Source organism: Homo sapiens, chromosome 8, assembly GCF_000001405.40.
Source record: "Homo sapiens chromosome 8, GRCh38.p14 Primary Assembly".
Taxonomy (NCBI): domain Eukaryota; kingdom Metazoa; phylum Chordata; class Mammalia; order Primates; family Hominidae; genus Homo; species Homo sapiens.
The window spans coordinates 130104397-130127118 of NC_000008.11; the positions used below are offsets into that span (position 1 = coordinate 130104397).

At 41.8% G+C, this 22722-nt stretch overlaps 1 protein-coding gene across 24 annotated transcripts in view; it reads right to left on the reverse strand.

Moving 5' to 3' along the window:
• Nucleotides 1-22722, reverse strand: part of ASAP1 (ArfGAP with SH3 domain, ankyrin repeat and PH domain 1) — a 391571-nt gene that overhangs the window by 52293 nt on the left and 316556 nt on the right. For 23 of the 24 annotated variants that reach the window (XM_047421810.1, XM_047421806.1, XM_017013468.2 and 20 more), the window contains 8 exons: nt 21560-21693; nt 19617-19708; nt 14093-14279; nt 13765-13850; nt 12484-12599; nt 12282-12349; nt 11232-11339; nt 7698-7926 (listed from right to left, as the gene is read on the reverse strand). In XM_047421810.1, coding sequence (XP_047277766.1) covers nt 7698-7926; nt 11232-11339; nt 12282-12349; nt 12484-12599; nt 13765-13850; nt 14093-14279; nt 19617-19708; nt 21560-21693 — 1020 coding nt within the window. Of the gene's footprint in view, nt 1-7697; nt 7927-11231; nt 11340-11417; nt 11619-12281; nt 12350-12483; nt 12600-13764; nt 13851-14092; nt 14280-19616; nt 19709-21559; nt 21694-22722 lie in introns of those variants that run through there. The other variant, XM_047421812.1, reaches the window with a different exon arrangement.

Below are 22722 nucleotides of genomic sequence, written 5' to 3' on the forward strand. Positions count from 1 at the left end.
TTTGAAGGTGTTTTTACCTTTCTCAGCATTCCACAAGTTACTTCCTCCGTCCTTTGTTCTCTGCCTTTGCAACTCTTTTAAAAAGTTCTAAGTTACTAGCCAATCAGGACAAATACAAAACAGCCAATGGAAACTGGACACAGCAATAGGATGGACACGTCAGGTTATAAATGATCCTGTCTCATTTGTTCAGTGTACTCTCGTGGCAAAACTGCTGGCAAGTATACCCTTTCTACAGAAAGTATAAAAACGGCCTTGCTGAAAAAATTAAATTTATGTTCAAGTGCTATTTCTTTATGGCACTGGGAAACAAGCATTTCAAACAACGACTATAAAGATAATTCATGATGTAAGTCAGGAGGATGTTTTTTCAATATCCTTGTATATCTGGTTTTTAGTTACACACAGAAAAACCAAAAGTCTCTTACACTGGGAGACCAAATAAAAGTATAACTGAAGTTTCAAAGAAAAAAAAAGACCTAGAAGATGGCTTAAAAATTATCTTGACAGTTTCTGAAAAAGTTGTCTGTAGAAACATAATTTACACATTCTAAGCTGCCACATAGGAAGGGTAATGACAAAAGTTATATCTATCCAACTTGGGACAATATACATGAAGATTTTATCACTTTCTAATAGTTTTCTTTTTTCAATTTATTTTTAATTGATAACATATATATTTATTATGTATAACATATTGTTTTAAAATATGTATACAGTTGGACCTTTGTATCTGGGAGTTCTGCATCTGCAGGTTCAACCAACCCTGGATTAAATATATTCAGAAAAAAGAAACTCACAATAAAAAATAACAATCCAACAACAATAACAACAAACAAACAATATAGTATAGCAACCATTTACATAGCATTTACATTGTAGTAGGTATAACAAGTAATCTAGAGGTGATTTAAAGTACACAGGAGAATGCGTGTAGGTTATATGCAAATACTGCACCATTTTATATAAGGCACTTGAGCATTCCTGGAGTTTTGGCATGGGATAACTGTACATTGTGAAATTGCTAAATTGAGCTAATTAACAGATGCATTACTTCACGTATGCATCTTTTTCTTTGTAGCGAGAACATTTAAAATCTATTCTCTTAGCAATTTTCAAGAATACAGTACGTTATTAACTACAGGCACCAGGTTGTACAACAGATCTCTTGAACTTATTCCTCCTAACTGATCTAATGGTTTTCATAGTATAAAGCTTAAAAGAGTGGAAAGCTTAAGTTAATTACTTTAAAAAGTAATTAACCGTATAATTATACAAAGAAGGACTCAGTGTAGAACGGAGGAGCTGTTATCTCCACATTCAGATGGAGAAACAGGCATGGTGGAGTAGAGTGCGCTGGGACACTAGTGTAAGTCAGCAGGGCTGGCCAGGATTACAGGACAGGCTGGTGCCCGGGCATGATATGTGCCACATTGCTCTGTCAACTGACTTCCACACAGGAAACAGCATTAGCTATCCATCTGTCCTTCCACCTCCTTCTATGACACTGATAATTAAGAAGAAAGTACCAGGATTCAAGAGACTTAGGGCTGATTCTTTAACAATTAACTCATCCACCCCTGAATGCCAGAGGCACAACAAGGATTTCCTCTGCTTCCCTTTCCACACCCTGGCAGTCAGGTGACTTAGCTAGAGAGCCTCAGTCAAGGTCACTATTCAGGGCAAAAATCACAGATGATACTCTGGGCCAGCACTAGGTGATTCACGTGCAATGCCTTACAAAGGACAGGGGGAAAGGATTTAAAAAGGCCAAAAACCCAAATGCAAACCAAACCCAAATGAAAAAAACACCCTAAAACAAAACACGAATCAAGGGTGACAGCCTATGAGAAGCTTTAATATCAAGCTACTCTAATGACTGTCTTCCCATGAGATAAAAAACCGCAGGAAACTGTAAAGTCATCAATATATGAATAACACCACTGATAGGAAAATATTTCCCATGCGAGTCTGAATCATGCAGTAGTGTACTTTCATGGTGGCAGGTGCTGTCATATACTGAGCAAGTCTTCACCCTTTCTACTCTTCTTCCTATCTACTGCCACAGATCTCCAAGGAAAGTTGGAGAAATGTCTAAAATGCATACACAGCTGTGTCTGGGCACAACTGCTGCATTTATTAGATTTTCAGCAAGTCAACTATCACACCTGTGGACATCTGGTTTAGTTTTATAAATGTCCCCTCCTTATCCTGGCCACCTATTTCTGGGACATGCTTTCACTGATTCTTTCTGCTGTTGTTTATGCATCTGACGAGTACTGACGAGCATCCTACTCTCTGTGCCAGGGATGCAAAGGCAGCTCATTCACAGCCCTTATCCTTGAGGAGTTCTGCTCCTAACTGGAAGAGTGCATTGAAGACTTCCCTAATCCTCTCTCTGAAGCTGTGAACAGCACTTCTCTTTCCTGCTCCTCCAGGAATACTCCCTAGTGGCCCCAGGGGCACATTATACTGTGTCCTCTTTCCCTGGAGCCCTGAGAGTGGGAGGTACTTCTTCCTTCTTCTTTACATTTCCAGTGCCCAGAATGTTTGTTAAACTGAAAACATGCAGGAGGATTGAACAAACTTGTATTTACTGAATGCTCACTACGTGCCAGTCATTTCATAGACATTATTTCATGCTCTCTAAGCAAGGTAGACACCTAATCCTTATTTTTCAGTTGAAGACTCTGAAAATCAGCAAGATTGGCTCAATGTTAGGATGAGACAAGTATGGGGCAGGATTGGGCCTTATGAGGAAGAACTATAGTCTCTCTCTTCTTCTTCTTTTTTTTTTTTTTTTTGAGACGGAGTCTCACCCTGTGGCCCAGGTTGGAGAGAAGTGGCACAATCTCGGCTCACTGCAAGCTCCGCTTCCCGGGTTCACGCCATTCTCCTGCCTCAGCCTCCCAAGTAGCTGGGACTACAGGCGTCCTCCACCACACCCGGCTAATTTTTGTTTGTATTTTTAGTAGAGACAGGGTTTTACCATGTTAGCCAGGATGGTCTCGATCTCCTGACCTCGTGATCCGCCCGCCTCAGCCTCCCAAAGTGCTGGGATTACAGGTGTGAGCCACCATGCCCGGCCCATAGTCTCTCTTTTTTTTTTTTTTTAAAAAATGTATGTATGTATGTATGTATGTATGTATGTATGTATGTATGTATTTTTGAGATAGAGTCTCATTCTGTCGCCCGGGCTGAAGTGCAGTGGTGCCATCTTGGCTCACTGCAACCTCTGCCTCCTGGGTTCAAGCAATTCTCCTGCCTCAGAATCCTGAGTAGCTGGGATTACAGGCACGGGCCACCAAGCCTGGTTAATTCTGTGTATTTTTAGTAGAGATAGGGTTTCACCATATTGGCCAGGCTGGTCTCGAACTCCTGACCTCAGGTGATCTGCCTGCCTTGGCCTCCCACAGTGCTGGGATTACAGGCATGAGACACCACGCCCGACCACCATAGTCTCTTTTGTGTGGCACGGAAAAGAAGGCTTCTTGGAAGAGGAGAAGGTGATGCTGGAAAGGCTTCTCAGGAGTTCACAGCTGTCTAGGCAGCCATGGTCTGGCTTGACACAGACTGATCTGCCTTAGTTTGTTACTCTCAAACTACTGCATATACTTTGATTAATGAGAGTAGTTAGTCTCTTCACCTACCTGTTGGCAAGGGTAGCATCTGGTTCAATTTTCTCTGTGGCACCAACCCTTCAACAACAAGCATCTATTGACGCTCTCAGTATGCCACACAGCACGCTACTTTCGTGCAGGTTATCTGCTAGTTTATTAGTTCCAAGCCAGAGCCTCTCTAAGGTAGGAAGTCTACATTATAGCAAATGTGTATGAAATGAAGAATTAATACTTACAGGTATTCACATGCTATTGAGAAGGGCTATATAATGCCTGATTCTAGAGGCCTGGCTTCAGGAATAGATGGGAATGAACTGTAATTAGCATATCAGGTGTTCACCTTTCTAAACGCTTAAAAGGTTAGTTCTTTTAAGCATGTTAAAGAAGGTTCTTGAGATTGGAATTATCATTCTTTTACTTAACACATCCTATCTTTGAGTTAAGATGCCTACCAAGTGCCCGGTCTCATTATCCAGAGCATTTGTTAATTTAACAGGCTTGGCCGGGTGTGGTGGCTCACGCCTGTAATCTTGGCACTTTGGGAGGCCGAGGCAGGTGGACTACCTGAGGTCAGGAGTTCGTGACCAGCCTGGCCAATGTGGTGAAACCCTGTCCCTACTAAAAATACAAAAATTAGCTGGGCATGGTGGCAGTAAATAAACCTAGGTTCTGTGATATTATTTTAATTAATCTTAATCAAAGGTTAAAAAGAAACTAATCTTGGCAAGCCTCAAAAACCAGTTTTTTTTTTTTTTTTTTTTTTTTTTTTTTTTTTTGAGATGGAGTTTCACTCTTGTTGCCCAGGCTGGAGTGCAATGGCACAATCTCGGCTCACCACAACCTCCGCCTCCCAGGTTCAAGCGATTCTCCTGCCTCAGCCTCCCGAGTAGCTGGGATTACAGGCAGGCGCCACTACGCCCGGCTCATTTTGTATTTTTAGTAGAGACGGGGTTTCTCCATGTTGGTCAGGGTGGTCTCGAACTCCCGACGTCAGGTGATCCGGCCACCTCGGTCTCCCAAAGTGTTGGGATTATAGGCGTAAGCCACCGCACCCGGTCCAAGAACCAGTGTTAATAAACGTACAGTAGAAGTGGGGTGGGGGCAGGGGGAAGCTACTGATCACAAACGAGAAACTACCACACACAAATTAATTTTACAGCTTTGATTTAGTCTCTCGGGACCCCACATCTGAAGAGGGGTTAGGCAGCGAAGTGTTTCGGTATGGGGCTTGAGGATAGTGATTTTGGGATTCTGAGCTACTGAGCTCCTCTGAGACTCTGGGGCACTGCTCACTTGTAAGCACAAGGGGGCTTTGCTTGACGGTAATTTAGGTCAAGCTTCCTTGAATTTCGATGAGGCAGCTGGAGTTTCTTGAAAATATTCTCAGCTAGATTCAGAATAATTCTTTCTCCTCTTCGCTTTTGTGGGGACTTTATCTCAAGTGTCTGTTTCTGTCTCACTGGAAGACTTAATTTAGGGGTCCTTCAGACCCCTAAATTCAGTTGAGGAAATGACTTCTGCTGCAAATAGAGACCTCTGCTTTATTTGTCATGGAGAACAAGGAACTCAAATGAGAGATCCAAGGCATCCTTGTTTTCATGCAAATGGTTCTATCAGCTCAACAGAAGGAAATGAAAAAAAACATAGGGGCCAAAAAAACAGAGAAGAATTATCTCTGCACACAGAGTATCAGCTGATCTTTAACAATGTCTTCTAAGAGCTCCATTCTAAACATTATCAGTTTTCCAAATGTAAGCGCATGTGAGCTGAGCTAGCTATGGGATATCGCACACTTCAAATCCCTTATAAAAGTCATGAGAAGGCTGTACTCCCTATGTCTCACCAGCAGACAGGCCAAATCTCTGAATTTGATGTCCTGCTGTGAACAGCCATGAAGAACACTCTTGGTTTTTGTAGGGAGGATTTCTATTTTCAATTATGGGCTTTTTTTGGGGGAAGTGGGGAAAGTACTGTATCCTTAGATGACCACGGTTGCTGTGGCCAAGTCTCAAACACTTGTTTCAGCAGCTGGAACACTAAATAAATTTAGTCTTTGTCTTCTGGGTCTTTGGTAAAGAGCTAGTTAGAATTTATTCAAGACATGAGAGATATGCCTGGCACAAAGTCAGACAGTATATATTATGGGTTTCTGTTGTCCCCCTTGAGATAAAATTACAGAAGGGGGTGGAGGGAAATGAGGGGGTCTCTTGGCCCCCAGGACTCTGGTGTCATTTTCTCCTATAAACCATTTTCAGGACTCTCAATGACCTAGAGGCTCTCTGAACAGGCATAGGCTGTGCCTGTCTAGATAGGTCCCCACTGCTATGTTGGTAACCACACTCAGGAGATGTGAAATCTTTCAGTCACTTTTTCCATTATTGTATTCAGTCTGGAGGCTTCTCACAGTCCTCTGTAGGGTGCAGAAAGAGAATCTCTGCTCTCTGTCAGACTGCTACCCTGATGGGGAATGCCATTACCCACAGGGAAGCAGCAACACAGCATTCTTACACTACAGACCTGCAGCTTGATATGTGAGTGATTTAAAAACATACATTTTAGTACAATGTATGGAATGGTAAGAAAACACTGGTGGGTTAGACCTTTGGCTTACATGCACTATTACTGTGTGGCCACTGGTTATCTTTGAGGATAGCTGTTCATGCCAAAGCGTTATTTTAACTTTTCTCTATTACTTTATGATCTATGAGGCCATTTGGGGTCTCTCTAAGAACACAGCTCCCATTTATAACACTATTTCAATAGAGAATAAGCTCTGAAAAAACACTGTTTTGAATAAAGCTCACATTTCCCAGAAAATAGCCCTAGTGTGATTCAAATAGGCATGGCATTGTGTAGCGAGAAGCCATGAAACCTGTGGGAGCACGAGCTGAGCACACAGGGAGAACCCTGCATTTGGATTCACTGGCAAAGACCAAACTTGAAGCTATAGCTCTGGGTACCTCTCAATTATCCCTACTGGCTGAGGCAACACTTTAATGGTAGCCTGAGGCGCCAGCCCTGTGAGACATTTGACAACTCACAGCACAACAACCCTCCTATGAGCGGGATTCCTCGTCTGGGCGCAGTGGCTCAAGCCTGTAGTCCCAGCACCTTGAGGGGTCAAGGTGGGAGGATCAGTTGAGTACAGGAATTCAAGACCAGCCTGGGCAACATAGCAAGACCTCATCTCTACCAAAAAAAAAAAAAAAAAAAAAAAAAAGCTGGGCATGGTGCCACACACCTGTGGTTCCAGCTACTTGGAAGGCTGAGGTGGGAGGATCAGGATCACTTGAGCCCCGGAGATGGAGGCGACTGAGAAAGGCCTGTCTCAAGGGAAAAAAAAAATTCCTCTCCAAGTACTGTCTCTGGAAAAATGTTCCTTATTAGAGAGTACAAGAGAATGGGCTTTGGTCACACAGAACCTGGGTTAGAATCCCAGGCTGAGAACTACAGGCCAATTACTCAGTATCTCTGAACAAATCCCCTAATTCACATGATGCCAGTAACTGCATAATAGCACCTACCTCATTTTGAGATGATTACAAAAGAAGTACTAGGCGTAGAGCCTCTCATAAGGCAAGTGCTCCATAACTATTAACTACCACTATTATTACTAGCGTCTTCAAAAGAGTGGCATTTTAATGTAGAGAAAAGTAACTTTCCAGAGAACTGAAACTCCACTCCACATTATAAAAAGTACAGGTTCTGGAGCCACGTGGACCTCAGATTGAATCTCAACTTTACCTCTTACCAGTGGTGTGACCTTGGGCTGGTCAGTGTATCTCATTGAGCCTTAGTTTCCTCTTCTGTAAAATGGGCACAAAAGCACATACTTCACAGGATTGTTGTAAGGTTAACACAAATAATGCACAAAGAGAGCCCACAGCACTGCCTGTCCTGCTCTTGGTACCTGGCAAATGGCATGGTCCCTATTTCAAGCTGCTCCTGACAACACGATCCGCGCCACTCAAATGTACCTTGCAATTCTTACCTCAAAGCTGGCTAGACTATCAGCTCTGAGGATGGAGTCACAAGCCCTTCGAGGATGGAGTCACAAGCCCTTCTCAAAGCCCATACCTTTCCCGGCGTTCCTAGGAGGCAGAGGGGGAGCCTCCGTGGTTGGTGATGTGGGCGAGTCTGTGCTTGTGGAAACGAAGATCTGGTTGGTGAAGGCTCCATAGGAGAGCCGCTGTTTGTCCCTTGGAGTGCTGAATCCTGGCAGTGCCAGCTTGTCCTGGGGGGAGATGCTGGAGGAGTGGCAGAAGCTCTGAGGTCTGGGTGAGCGCTCTTTCTTGATAGGGCTTGGCTGGCAGATGAAATAAGAAGGTGAGATAATAATCAAGGACCACCCTTCATGTGTACAGAGGGCCTCCGCAGGGCGGGCTCAGGTGGGAATCTGGGTTCCTGTGGCTCTCTGAGCTTTATGAGGTCAGCCACAATGAGCCTCATGATGCTGACACAGTACAAGGGAAGGATCTAGATACCACACTTTCATATCGTTCACCACTATGAATAATCACACTAGTGAAACACTGGTTAGGATCAGCAGCAGTGTCAGAAGCACAGTAAGGTCACAGGTAGATTTAACTTTTAATAAGCAAACACCTTCAGAATGCAGGACTTTTTCAGCAACATTTGAATAGTATTTCCACCTATTTCTAATTTGCTACATTAAGTTTTGTTCCCTGCTCAACCCTTTAACGTTGAAGTTCTTTCTTTGCCTCTTTTCTCATTTTATATCCCCCTGCAAAGTAAACGGATTCACACCCACTGCCCGCTACACAATAATTACTTACAGATCTGTAAATACAACCCCAGTGACTTGTGTTCCAAACCAATGGCCCATGAGGTATCTCTGGTATTTGCGCTTGTGGTGATGGCATTAGGATCCACTCAACTGCCCAGGTTAGAAACCTCAGTGTCACCTGGAGTCCCTGGTTCCTGCATTCCCCTTGGAAATATCCCTTGAAGCCCCTCCTAGTACAGGTGCTCACCAGCTCCCACTGCAGCTCTAGCCTCCAGAATGGCCCCTTCTCCAGTTTCCTTCCTCCAGTCCATTCTCCACACTGCAGCCAGAGCTGGTGGGAAACCTTGCTCTTTAGACAATAAACCTCTGTGGGCTTCTGACTGCTTGCACAAAAACCCAAAGGCCAAACCTTGCCCACAAAGCCATCCTGATCTGGTTTGCCTGACTCTACAAGGCAGCTGCCTGCCTCTCCCCACCCAGCCAGGTGAATGCATCTCACACACAGTGCTTCTCTCCATTCCTCCGACATCCAGACTCTACCATGACTCCTTCCCTTGGCACGTGGTGTTCTGGAATGATGCATTCCACCCCACTTCTTTCCCTGGCAAGCTTCCACCTATCCTTAGAAACCCATCTCCAATGTCCTTGAGAAGGCAGACTGAGGCAGCTGCTTGGTCCTCTGAATAGCTCTCAGGAATTTTTCCATACTCTTATAATGATTATCACATTGTATTATAATTTATTTCCTCTTAAAGTTGTTAAGGCTTGAGGACCTCTTTGGCCATTCCTTACATCCTGCCTGTGATACAGGAAATGTCCAATACATAGGCAATCAATTAATGCATGAATGAACTTTCAGAGGTAGTTAACTGCTTATAAGGAAAACTCAGTGAGAACTGGGTTTAATCCTCCAAACTGTCTTTACTAGCTGGGAGACTTTAGACAAGTTGCTAAATTCTCTTTGTAAGTTTTCTCTTCTGTAAAATGGGGATAACAATGTCCCTTATGTACTTTTTTTTTTTTTTCCTCTGAGACAGGGTCTCACTCAGACACCCACACCCAGGCTGGAGTGCAATGGGACAATCTTGGCTCATCACAGCCTTGAGTTCCTGGGCTCAGGTGATTCTCCCACCTCTGCCTCCCGGGCAGCTGGGACCACAGGCGCACACCACCACGGCCAGCTAATTTTTGTATTTTTTGTAGAGAGAGGGTTTCGCCATGTTGCCCAGGCTGGTCTCAAGCTTCTGGGCTCAAGGCATCCACCCGTCTCACCCTCCCAAAGTGCTGGGATTACAGGTGTGAGCCACAGCACTCAGTTATGGACTTTCAATAAAGATGATCTGAGATAACGTAAGTGCTTAAATCTGTCTAATCCATATTTAATGAACATCATTCCTTAATGACAGGCATACATTCTGAGAAATGTGTTAGGTGATTTCGTTCTTGTGCGAACATCATAGAGTATACTTACACAAACCTAGATGGGAGAGCCTACTACACACCTAGGCTATATGGTATAGCCTATTGCTCCCAGGCTACAAACCTGTACAGCATGCTACTATACTAAACATTGTAAACAACTGTAACACAATGGTAATTACTTGTGTATCTAAACATAGAAGAGGTAAAATAAAAACATGTTATATAAGATTAAAAAATGGTACATCTATGTAGGACACTTTCCATAAATGGAGCTGGAAGGACTGGAAGCTGCTCTGGGTGTGAGTGAAGGCCTAGGACATTACTGTACATTTTTATACAACTCAGTGCAGTAGGTTGGTTTATACCAGCATCCCACAACCATTTGAGGAATGTGTTGCACTACCGTATTATGACATCTATGGCATCACTAGGTGATGGCTATTTTTCAGCTCCGTTTTAATCTTATATTGATCCCCATTGAGTATGCAGTGTGTTGTGGACTGAAATGTTATTATACAGTGCATGATTATGTTCAATAAATAACAACTGTTATTTACTTACTAATTACTTGTTTTGAAGGTTAATTTTTTTTTTTTTTTTTTTTAAGATATAGGGTCTTGCTCTGTCATTCAGGTCAAGAGTGCAGTAGTACAATCATAGCTCACTGCAGCCTCAAACTCCTGGGCTCAAGCAATCCTCCTGCCTCAGCTTGTCAAATAGCACCACCACGTTTTATTGATTGATCCATTTACTTTGTAGAGACAGGGTCTCACCATTTTGCTTAGGTTGCTCTCGAATTCCTGGTCTCAAGCGATAGTTCTGCCTTGGCCTCCCAAAGCGCTGGGATTATAGGCATGAGCCACCATGCCTAGCTTCATGGTTAATTTTATGTGTCAACAGGCTACAGTGTCCTGGTGTTTGGTCAAATACTAGTCTAGATGTTGCTGTAAAGGAATTTTTTAGATGCAATTACCATTTAAATGAGTAGATTTCGAGTCAAGGGAACTACCCTTCATGATGTGGGTGTGCCTCACCTAATCAGCCAAAGAAAGGCCTTAAAAAGACTGAGGTCCCCCAAAGGGTAAGGAATGCTGCCTCCAGACTGTCTTTAGCCTGAAGACTGCAACATTAACTCCTGCTGGGATTTCCAGCCTGCTGGCCTGCCCTGTGCATTTTGAACTTGACAGCTCCTTCAATCATGTGAGCCAATTCCTTAAAAAAAATTTCTCTGTCTCTCTCCCTATCCTGTTGGCTCTGTTTCTCTGGACAACCTTAATATAGCTGTTAAATGGTGCCCAATAAGGACTGAACAACATAAATGGCCCTGATACATTGGATCATAAAACCACAATCAATCAATCTCACCAAAAATGGATCTTGTCTACACAGACTAGAAAAGTTGGGGTAGTTGTTGAGAATTCGAGGACATAATTTACACTCACTTTGTCATCCAGATCATCATCGCTCTCATCTATCTCCTCCTGTCGAAGATTCCACTCATATTCTACGTGGACGTGTGGATTGAACTTTCCAGATTTAGCCTGGGAAAGCTGGAAGGAACAGCAAATGTGCACCATTTTAATTTAAATGCTGAAACATCCCAATATTATACAAACACTGAGCAAATCCCACCTTATTCCTAGTTTTCAATGAATCATCTGTAGGTGTACTATAGGCAACACTCTGCTTAGACAAGCTGCACTGCTATGTGACAGGCTCAAGAAGAAATGCAAACAATTGCAGGCAGAGCCTTCTTTATTTTGATGACTTGTCTCCAAAATTAAAAGCTTTCTTCTTATTAAATGGGCCTCAAACTTGCAAATTCCTGGCTGAAAGGCAAAACGAGTCTTTGAAGTTTAAGACGTAGGCTTTTAAGGTCCCAGTCCAATCTGTGGCCCCATTTTCTCATTCATAAAATGGGAGCAGGGATAATTGTCTCAAAGGATTCTTTTAAGAATAAAAAGGCCCAACTGGTGGGCCTGGAACCTGGCACTTAGCAGAAACTCAAGAGAATCACACTAATGTGAAGGCCCTGACTTGCTAAGCAAGAACTAGTAGGGTCAAAAAAGGTGAATGTGCACAGGAAGGGGAGGGGCTGGGAGAACAGTGTGTTAACATTTTGAAGACCACTACTCTCTGAGCTTTACTTGCCCAATTTTTGGAGCAGCTTCTCAAATAATTCTTTACTATTAAGCTGCAGAGAAAGTCTAATGGTCTGGGAAATAAAAAGCATGACCTCAATGCACAAGTCGATCTGGTAATAATACTTGTGTAATGCCTTTCACCTCCTTTAACTGCATTCCAAAAACATGTGGATGACAAATTTATCATTTTACCACTTTTTCTAATGTAGCACATTGCTCATCTGATTTTCTTTAGCAAGTGTTAAAAAAAAATGAATCTGCATTTTTAATATTCAATTCTAGCTTCTCAGAATGACACTTTTAAGGCAGCCAATGTCTAATAAATCTCCCACGTCCATTTTTGCTTACCAGATCTTCACACTGGGTAGCTTTTAGTCTCTTTGCTATGTCTAGGGCAGTTTCTCCAGCCTGGTTAACTGAAATAGGAAAAAAATTAATTTGCATAATTATCTAGGAAACACCTTAAGAAGGCAAGGAACAATAATCAAATTACAATGTACCATGCAACACACGCTTACTACAGTCATGAAGACACTAGACACACTCTTACCTATATCCACAGTGGGCTTGCTCCTGAGCAAAAGCTTCAAACACTCAGGTTTACTGTACATACTACAGTAGTGTAGAACTGTGTTTCCCAGGGCCGTCTGCTTATCCAGGTTCCCACTGAAAAATTAGATGATGATTAGAAAAAAATGACTTACTTTATAACTTAAAACTATAGATTAGCCACTTATTTTTGTGCTGACAACTGAGTCAAATTTGAGACCTAATTATTATAATAGAGAAAATTATGATGTTTCTAACCTAGATTTATAAGCAATACAGTGATAACAGGCAGTATTTATTTAGAGTGCCAGGTCCTATGGGACAGACACTGTTTCTTAACATTTACATGTATTAGTTCATTGAATCTTTACAACTATATGATGGGGTAAATACTAATAATAACCGCTTTTACAGATAAAAAACCCTGAAGCGCAGAGAGGCTGAAGTGCTTGCTTTCAAGATTTTCAAGATAGGGATGGTGAAGCAGGGATATTTGAACACAGGTAATCTATCTCTGGAGCCAATGTTTTGAGCCACTATGCTATATTGTCTCTGAGGAAGAAACCTGGACTTTTATACAATTTGGCTTGTGTCTATGTACCATTTTTCCTCTATGGGTTCAAATCCCCTCACTATTTTGATCTTCTTCTTTAGATGAGCTCTAGTTCCTCCTCATCATCTGTTGCTTACAGAACAGATAAAGAGAATAAAGAATCCAGCAAGTCCAAACTTCCTATATTCACTCTTATACTTCCATCAGTATATCCCAAACTTGAATGAGCTATTGATCCAGCCACACACACTGCTGCTGTCTTATATTAAATTTAGGAACAATGAAAACTCACAAATATGGTTGACCTGTGCTGTTAAGTCTTCTCTCTTTTAACCTCTCCTAACGGTTAGCAAATGTGTCCAATCTGTGCAGCAGATTTTTGGATACAGACATAATTTTACATTTATAAAGGCCAAGAGATGGCAAACTACAGCCTGTAGGCCATATCTGGTTCACTGTCTGTTTTTATAAACAAAATAATAAAGTTTCATTGGAATACAGCCACACTTGCTTGTTTACACATTGTCAGTGGCTGCTTTCACACTACCATGGCAGAAGTGAATAGCTCTGACAGAGAGACTTCATGCCTGCAAAGCCAAAAATAATTTTTATATCTAGCATGACACAGAAAAAGCTTGCCAATTCCCGATCTAGGCCACTGATAGGACTGGTTTGTGTTAATTTATAAGGCATATTCAGGTAATTCAACAGAGAAAACAAAAACGATACCAGTTTTGTACAAGGAAGTCAACCAAATGGAGAGATGTCTGATCTGCAGTTCGGACGGCAAGGTGAAGGGCTGTCTCCCCAAGCTCCTAAAAAGGGAAAGAAAAGTATAAGTAAGTCAATAATATGCTCTGCCAAGGGAGGCTTCATATATATCAGTTGCCCCCAAGTAATTATAAGGAGCACACCTCTTCACTCTCATATTCTCTTGATTTAGACATGGCCACCCAATGTATAAGAATCTCATTATATGGTATAATGTTAAAATAAGTCACCTTTTAAACTGATTTTCCACATTACTTTTTATCCAATGATTTTAGTGAGGCCTTACCTGCCCAGGTTCCAGCAGTGGTTCCATTAGCTCTACCCCTTCTGCATAGACTTGAATTAGTGCAAGTAAATCCCTGGATTTGATGGCCTCAAGCAATTCATTTAGTTTAGCTGATGAAGTTGAACAGGTCTTCCTTGAAAACCTATGATCTACATACTTTGCAGTGATATATTCTTTTCGTACAGTCCTAAAACAGAACAAAATAAAGAATTTTTATTTTCCAAGTGCTAGGAAAGGTTTACATTTTTCTGACAAACATTTCTCTTTGAGAAGTTATTTTAATTAAGATACGCTTCTTTTCACCATTCAAATAAACCAGGTTTTAGACCAAATTACTCCAACAGAGACAGAATAAAGAAAATAATATATGTTTACTAATATATACAAGTAATAGATATAGTTACAAAGTAAACGGGCACATAAATCACAGATTTCTTTTTCACCTTGACCAACAGCATGAGAAATCAACTATTTATAAATACTTCAAACTCTGATATATAAGCATATGAATAAATTTAAAAATTTAAGAAGTTAAACACATTCTGAAAGACCAATTAAAAGTTTTCAGAGCTTCACGGAAAGGATTTTGGTCGTCTGATATAACTCTCTATTTTTTATTTATTTTGTAAAATTTTTAAAAGGATCGGGTCTCGCTATGTTGCCCAGGCTGGTCTTGAACTCCTGAGCTCAAGCAATTCTCCTGCCTTGGCCTCCCAAAGAGTTGGGATTACAGGTGTGAGCCGGCCTGTACCCGGCCATAACTCTCTATTTTATAGGTGAGGAAACTAAGGCTCAGAAAGGCTGTCACTGAAGCAACTCCCCCAGGCCAGGCATTGAGCTCCAAAGGGGTGAAGATGAGCTGTCTTTCCTGCACAGGTTCAGTATGGGAGCAGGAGACCACATGGATAACATGCCCAAAGTCTGAAAGGGTGTAGTACTTTTTCCTTTTCTTGAGGAATTGCCTTCTTTACTTCCGTTCAAGTGTTTCTGGTGGGACTGAGCTCACCTCCCAGCCACAGGGGTGAGTAAATGACCTAAGTGGCCCAATGGTCACCTTGGCCACCTCTGGGGAAAGACTAAAATGGAAGTCAGCTCAGAGGAAAGGAGAGGTAGGAGTCAAGGAAAGAGAGCTAGGGTCCACGTGATGCTGTCTGACAGCCTGGATCCAGCTGTACCTGAATCCACCCCTTGAATTTCCCAGTTACATGAGCTAATTAATAAAGACAGTAAATGAACTTTGGATTAAATCTTTTAGTTCTACAGCACCCCAGCTGTGTGACCATAGTAAACTGCTTAATCGTCATGAGCTTCAGTTTTTTTTTTTTAATCTGAAAATGGGGATAAGACATTGGTATATTTTGAATTAAAGGATGTACAGTGCCTAAGAAGTGTTTTCTTCCTTCTGAGAGGGCTCTAACACAAAGGACATAAACTTTCTTGCTCAAAAATATGCATTCCACCTGTGGAAGCTGCTACTGTTTCCAACAGCCCACAGTCAGGCAACACAGTTTAACACTGTGCTGGTACCTTTTTCTTTCATTTTGGGTTGGCAGTAAAAACAGTTGAGCTGGTTGATGATGGCACACAGCCTCTGGTCTTTTCTCAACCCTGTGCAGTTGAGAAGAGACCAACTGATTCTACTAAGTAACCAAAATCTTATGCTCACGTGTGTCCCTTATGCTTAGGTCAAAGTCCTTTTTAGGATGGCTAGAGCCTGATGAATTAGAGGACTTCCAGTAACCAAAAGAACGGCCCAAGCCTGGCTTCTGAGGCCTCTGCTGCATGTGTCTTATATAAAGTGTGAAAGGCAGCTACTGTGTTGATGGATGGAGCAGCAGACTTAAAAATTAAATCGCTCGATTCAAGTCTGAGACCACGTGCTAACTATGTGACCCTGGGTAAATCAAGTTCTCACTGAATCTCAGTTTCTTTACCTGTAAAATATTAGTAATCATAGCTGCCTTCCAAGGAAGCAAGATTATGGGTAAGGAACAAAGAGGGATGCACATGTTAGGGGTTCATTTGAAAGCTTCCTTCCCATTATTATCCGGGAGGCCAGAACTAGGCTTAAAGATGCAAAGTTGCGGGGAGGTAGATCTTAGATTACTGTTTCCATGCATTCATCTGCGTTTCAGGAATGTCTGCAGGTGGCTTCCTGTCACTGGAAATATCATGCAGATGCCACGCAATTATTTGGAAGCAATGATGCAGAGGGTGCTCAGGTATCACATGATCACCTTGAAAATCACCTCTACCCTTAGGTCTCTAATTCTGTGGCCATAGGAAGTATCTGGCCTCTTACTAGGCACAATGCCTTCAACTTTTTATGGGCACTCAGCCCATAGTCCCCTGGCAATTTAATGTTTTCTGACACTGGAGTAATAGGGAGAGTGGAAAATAGATTTGTCTGGAAATCTGGACACTAGAATTCTAGTCCTATGGCTGATAAAGACAACTTTTCTCCTCTGTCCCCTTAAACCCAGTCCTCTCTTTATCTGCTCCGTTTTTGTTAATGCTACTATCTATTTACCTAGATGTAAAACCTTGGGTGTCATCTTGACTGAGTCTTAAACATCTCATATTAAAACTGATCAGCAAATCCTGTTGGCTCTCCCTTCAAAATACATTGGGAAGTCAACCACATTTCATTATCTTCATTGCTACCACCTTTGTCCAGTTTACCTTCAGCGCTCAGTGGATCTATTCTAACAGCTTCTCCTCTGTCTGTTTTCATAGGCACCCAGGCCCCGCCACACTCCCCGCCAGTCTGTCCTTCACACGTCAGCTACAGCTGGGTTTCTCAACCTCAGCCCTACTGACATTTGGGGCTGGGTACATTCTTTTCTCTTGACAGCTGTCCTATGTTTAGCACCATCCCTGACCTCTACCCACTGGGTGACAGTAGCACCTGTCCAAGTCATGACAACTGAGTATCTCCAGACATTGCCAAGTATCCTCTGGGGGCAAAGTCACCCTTGGTTGAGAACCAATATCATATGATCAGTTTAAGAGGCTGGGTGCAGTGGCTCATGCCTGTAATCCCAGCACACTGGGAGGCCGAGGTGGGTGAATCACCTGAGGTCGGGAGTTTGAGACCAGCCTGATCAACATGGAGAAAACTCCTTCTCTACTAAAAATACAAAAAACTAGTCGGGCATAGTGGCGCATGCCTGTAATCCCAGCTATTCGGGAGGCTGCGACAGGAGAATCACTTGAACCCGGGAGGTGGAGGTTGCAGTGAGCAAAGATCGCATCACTGCACTCCAGCCTAGGCTATGAGAGTGAAATTCCATCTCAAAAAAAAAAAAAAAAAAAAAAAAAAAAGAACATACGATCAATTTAGAAAATAACTCAGATCACGCCACTCCTGTTTAAAACCTCTCAATCACACTTACAATCAAATCCCCAGGCAGTCCATGACCTACACGATCTGGCTCCACCTCTATCTTGCCCAGCATTCCCCTGCATCTCCCTCTTGCTCAGTTCTCTCCCGCCACATCTTCCTTCATGACATAGCTCAAATATGCCTTACTGCCCCTTGGGGCACCCATATGACCTGTTCCAGCTGCCTGGCTGCTTCCCCCCAGGGAGGGTGCCTTCATGCCCCTCAATTCTGCACTTTCCCCACCTTCAACTTGAAAAAAATACCCTCTCCCCATTCCCCACACACTTCAACACCTCCTCTTGTTGTAATTTCTTCATAACACCTAATACAATGTGTAATTGTATGACTGACTTTTTAATTCCCTGTGTTTTCATCTCCTCAGAATGTAAGCAGGACAGAAACTCTGTCTTGTTTGCTACTGTATCTTCAGCACCTACAAGACTGGCTGAAGTAGGGAAGCTGCCTCGTAAGGATTTGATCAACAACTAAATGAGTGATCAAACTGCATGTTACAAGAGGTTCACTTTATGCTTCTGGGTCACTGGCCAAACAAGGAAGTAATAATAGTAGTAGTAGTAAATACTTATACAGCACTTACTACAGACCAATAATAATAATAACAGATACTTATACAGCACTAACTATAGACCAAATGCTGCTCCAAGCACTTTTTATTCAAGCCCCTTAATTGTCACCACAACCCTATGAGGTAGATATATGTTCTGGATGAGGAAACTAAGGCACAGACAATTAAAGTTACTTGTCCAAGGTCACATAGTTTAGGAAGTGGCAGAGCTATGATATGAACTCCAGCAGTCTGGCTTCAAAATCTATGACCCTAACCACTACATTAGAGATATTGGAGAATCACAGACATTTTGAAGGTGAAAGTCTTACAGAGGCCAAATGACTAGATGAGGCACAAAGCTGACCAGGTGGCGCTGATGCTGCTTCCCACATGAGAAACAGGACATAAAAACCCATGTTGTTATGACATTCATCTGGCAGCTGTGCCTTCAAGGTTTGGGTCATGCAAACATTTAAAAAATGCTGGTGTGGACAAGAGTGCACTGTGTATGTGCTTGAGCACTTGCTGTTATCAAGCTGGTAAAGTAAAACTTAGGTCTTATTTGTTCATGGTAGTTTTACAATCAAATTAACTTTTGAAAAGCCTTTTCAGTGTAATTTGTGCTTTTTTTTTCCATCTGCATAGTGTTCTGTTGTGTGGCTCTACCATAGAGTATTTCATCAGATGCCTACAGATGGATACTTGTTTTGTTCCTAATCTTTTTGCATTACAGAATAGGAATAAATTCCCAGGAGTGGGACTGCTGAGTCAAAGGGTAAGTACATTTATAATTTTGGTAAATATGGTTAATTTGTTTTTCATAGTGTACCATTTTGTACTCCCACTGGCAATATTATGAGACAGAATGTCAGTTTCCCCACAGTCTTGCTGAGTGGGTTTTTAAGCATTTGGATTTTTGCCAGGCTAAAAGGAATCTCCCATTGTCTTTGAATGTCTCTTACTCATCACAATATGCCATGTTTTTGAGAGAACTGCCCCCATGACAATCTGTGCTTCACAGAGCAGGTGCGCAGCTGCAACAACCTAGGGGAAGGTGAGGGTGAAAAGAATCTGTGCATCCCGGAAATACATTTCTAAATACTTTTCTTTGTTCTGCTTTCCCCTGACAATGGGGTTTGCTCTGGAAAACAAACAAACAAACAAACAAACACTGTAAAAAACTAAAGACTTTCTTTTATTTTTGAGATGGGGTCTCGCACTGTTGCCCAGGCTGGAGTGCAGGGGTGCGATCTCGGCTCACTGCAAGCTCCGCCTCCCGGGTTCATGCCATTCTCCTGCCTCAGCCTCCCGAGTAGCTGGGACTACAAAGTGCCTGCCACCACGCCCGGCTAATTTTTAAAAAATTTTTAATAGAGACGGGTTTCACCGTGTTAGCCAGGATGGTCTTGATCTCCTGACCTCGTGATCCGTTTGCCTCAGCCTCCCAAAGTGCTGGGATTACAGGCGTGAGCCACTGCACCCAGCCAAAAAAAAAAAAAGAAGTTTTTTGGAAGGGTAGAAAAACAATTATAGAATGGTTTAAAAAAGTTCAATATATCAGAAATACTTACATATCACTTGAAGGGGTGGGTTTTGGTGAGGGGCTGGGTAAATTTGCTTCCATAATATCATTAAAACTATTGTTTCCTACATTCTTGGCCAGCTGTAACAGAAAAAACAAACAACCACAATATAGCAAACTCTTTGCTACTAGTTAAAAGTCTCCTATTATTTGTTTTTGAGATTTATGAATATGTATTTTCCCTCATTTGACTTAGAATACAAACCACCGTCCATCTGGTCTACAAATATTTACTGAGCATCTACTACGTGCCAAGCACCAAACTAAGTGCTGGAAATACAGAGATGGGTAAACTATGTTCCCTTTCCATAGATGCTCATAGTCTAGTGGGGCCATTGACAAGGAAATCAATCATGTCTACAAATATGTGATAAATGCTAGAACAGAATCTGGTTCTACACACATATAAACTATATGAGATTACAGAGAGCAGGCTCCATATGTGAGTCTAGGTTAAACTTTTAATAAACAGCAATAGCTTATCAACCACCATCATGTTTCCTTTTTATATTGAACAAATTTACTCCCAGGACAGAAAAGGACACAGGATTACTTTATATCTGGATACAGATTAAGATGCTGCAGGCAGCAGAGGACCCAGGAACCATTTTGCTTCTGGGTTCAAGAGCATTCTAAGAAAATTTGTTCTGAAGGGCCTCTAATCATTTTATGTAATTTTGGGATGCAAAGTTTAAGAAACATACATGCAACCATGTCTTTGAGGGAAAAAGTCTTGGGTTTATTGCATGGCAAACGTTTAGGATTTGGACTTTCCTCTTTCTTGTTGTCAAACTGGGTTTCATTAATACAGGTCAAGGAGATGAGGGACATCATTTCTGCACTAAAGAATGTGTTACAGGTAATAGGTCTGTGTCTTTTCTCTACAATCCTGAAGTGAACTAGGGAGCCGAGTATCAGCATGGTAACTTCCTACATTCTAAATTAGAAGGAATGTCTTGTATTGTGCATAGAACACAAGACAGATCACGATTGCTTAGTGAACGCTCAGATGACCAGGGCTGCTGGCTGGGTCACTAACTGCCCTTTTTGGTTAAGGCTAATGATAAGCTAGACTTTCAGCTTTTTTTTGAGCCCAGGTTCATTCAGGTTCTGCTCAAGGGTGAGCCTCCTGTCTGAGAAGTCATACTTTATTTTAAAAATTTCACTCTTAGTACAAAGACTCTCTCACAGTGCACCAGGTGTTAAAATTATGCAAAATGGGGCATTTGTCCAGTAGGCATCCTACTTGGGGGATGCCAAGTAGGCTCCCCTTCTGTATTTTGGTATATCTCGGGGAGCAATTTGGACCTGATGACAACTCCAAATCTGGGTGACTCATGATGGGAAGGGCAGAGGTTAAAGGAAAACAAGTTTAAGTGTACATAACCCCTTTTTTGGATTAAGAAGCTAAGCACCACAACTTCTCACAATTTCTTCCCTTACTACCTAAAGAAGTTATGGGTTCAAGAGTAGTTGGTTTTATGACAATAGTTAACAAGCCACTTGTAATTCATGTGTACTTTTACAAACTTAGAAATAATAAAAAAAAATTGAGATAAACTCTTTAGTCATTATTTACAACAGAAGCCATGAGGTAATGTGAACATTTGAGTTTAACTGCTATTTCCACGAGTTATATGAAAACTAATTCATAAAGAAAAATGTAGTTTTGAAGAAGACCATCCCAAAAGAAAAGAGCCAATTTCACTGAGCTACTTATAGACATGTATGATTCATCCTTTCTTCAAACAGGAAATAGAAAGTCAGCATTACATACCACAAAAGTTACATTTTAAACGTCTACGCAAACTCACAAAATTCAGGAATTATAATTCTTTGTACTCAGCAGACATACAAAAAAAATCCAAAACAATATATTAAAATTACTCATGACAATAATATCATTCTTCCCAAGTACAGGTCACTACTTACCAAGAGTTCAGAAGTTCCTAATTTGTCTAGTTCCAAAGACTGAATGCGAGAAATATGAACCCCCATTTCCCTATGGATGCCAGAACATTCTATACAGGTCAAAATACCCAAGTTGGTTGAAAGCCAGGTGGGTTCTGTGGAAAGAATGTTGAAGACAATGAAACAAAAAAGACATCTAATTTTAGTGTGCCAACTACAGAGGAAGCTAAAACAGTAGTACAAATTGTTAAGAACTATGAAGAAAAGACTTAAATGGAAGAAATGGACTCTTGAGGTTTAGCCTAGGGGCTACCATAAAAGTTTCCCTTTGATACTGAACTGAAAACAAAATTAAGCACTTTATCCTTGTGAAAAAGTGAGAAAGGCTTTCCTTAAGAGACCCTATGCAACACCTCTAGGCCTGTGAGAGATGTTCCCTCACTGCCACTATCACCTCTGACAGTGATGGACTGAAGGTCTATTAAGTACTGCTCACAGGGGAGTGGATTCTATAGCCATCATTAACCTCCAAGTTGCAACTAACATTAACCTCAACAGTTCTTGGTCATGGCCTCCCCATGAGCACTTCTTAGTAATAAGACAGCTGTAAATATTGAACACCAAATGTTTCTTTCAGTGACCTAAGGCCTTTTTTCTACAACCTCCAATGGCCCTAGAACAATGGGAACTATTACTTCCATGTTAGCCAAATCTTCAGGTTTCTCTCTCTGGGTCAAGCTTCTTCCTGACTGGTCAATGCTTGAGATTTTACTACCTGCTTGCCATTTCCTGACACTACGTGTGTCACTATCATACATGTACACAATAATGGCAGAAAATCTGAGACTTCTCTCTGAGGTGCTTATGGCTTCTTGTGTAGAAAATCCAGTTTCACAAGTAAAACCGCAAAAAAGGTATATCACAGTGCTTAAGAATACCAGGTTTGCATCCTTGTTCTGACTCCTACTAGCTGTGTGACCTTATGCAAGTCATTCAACCTCTCTGAGTCCCAGTTTCCTCATCTGTAAAATGAGAACATTGGGATCTTGCTCACAGGGGTTCTGCAAGGATTCACTGAGATAAGCAAAACACCTAGCATGATTCTCAGTACAGCGGGAACACTCAGTGTTAGCTGTTGCCAATACACTGGTAATATAGTGCTATTTGAAAATAAAAGTTTGGGA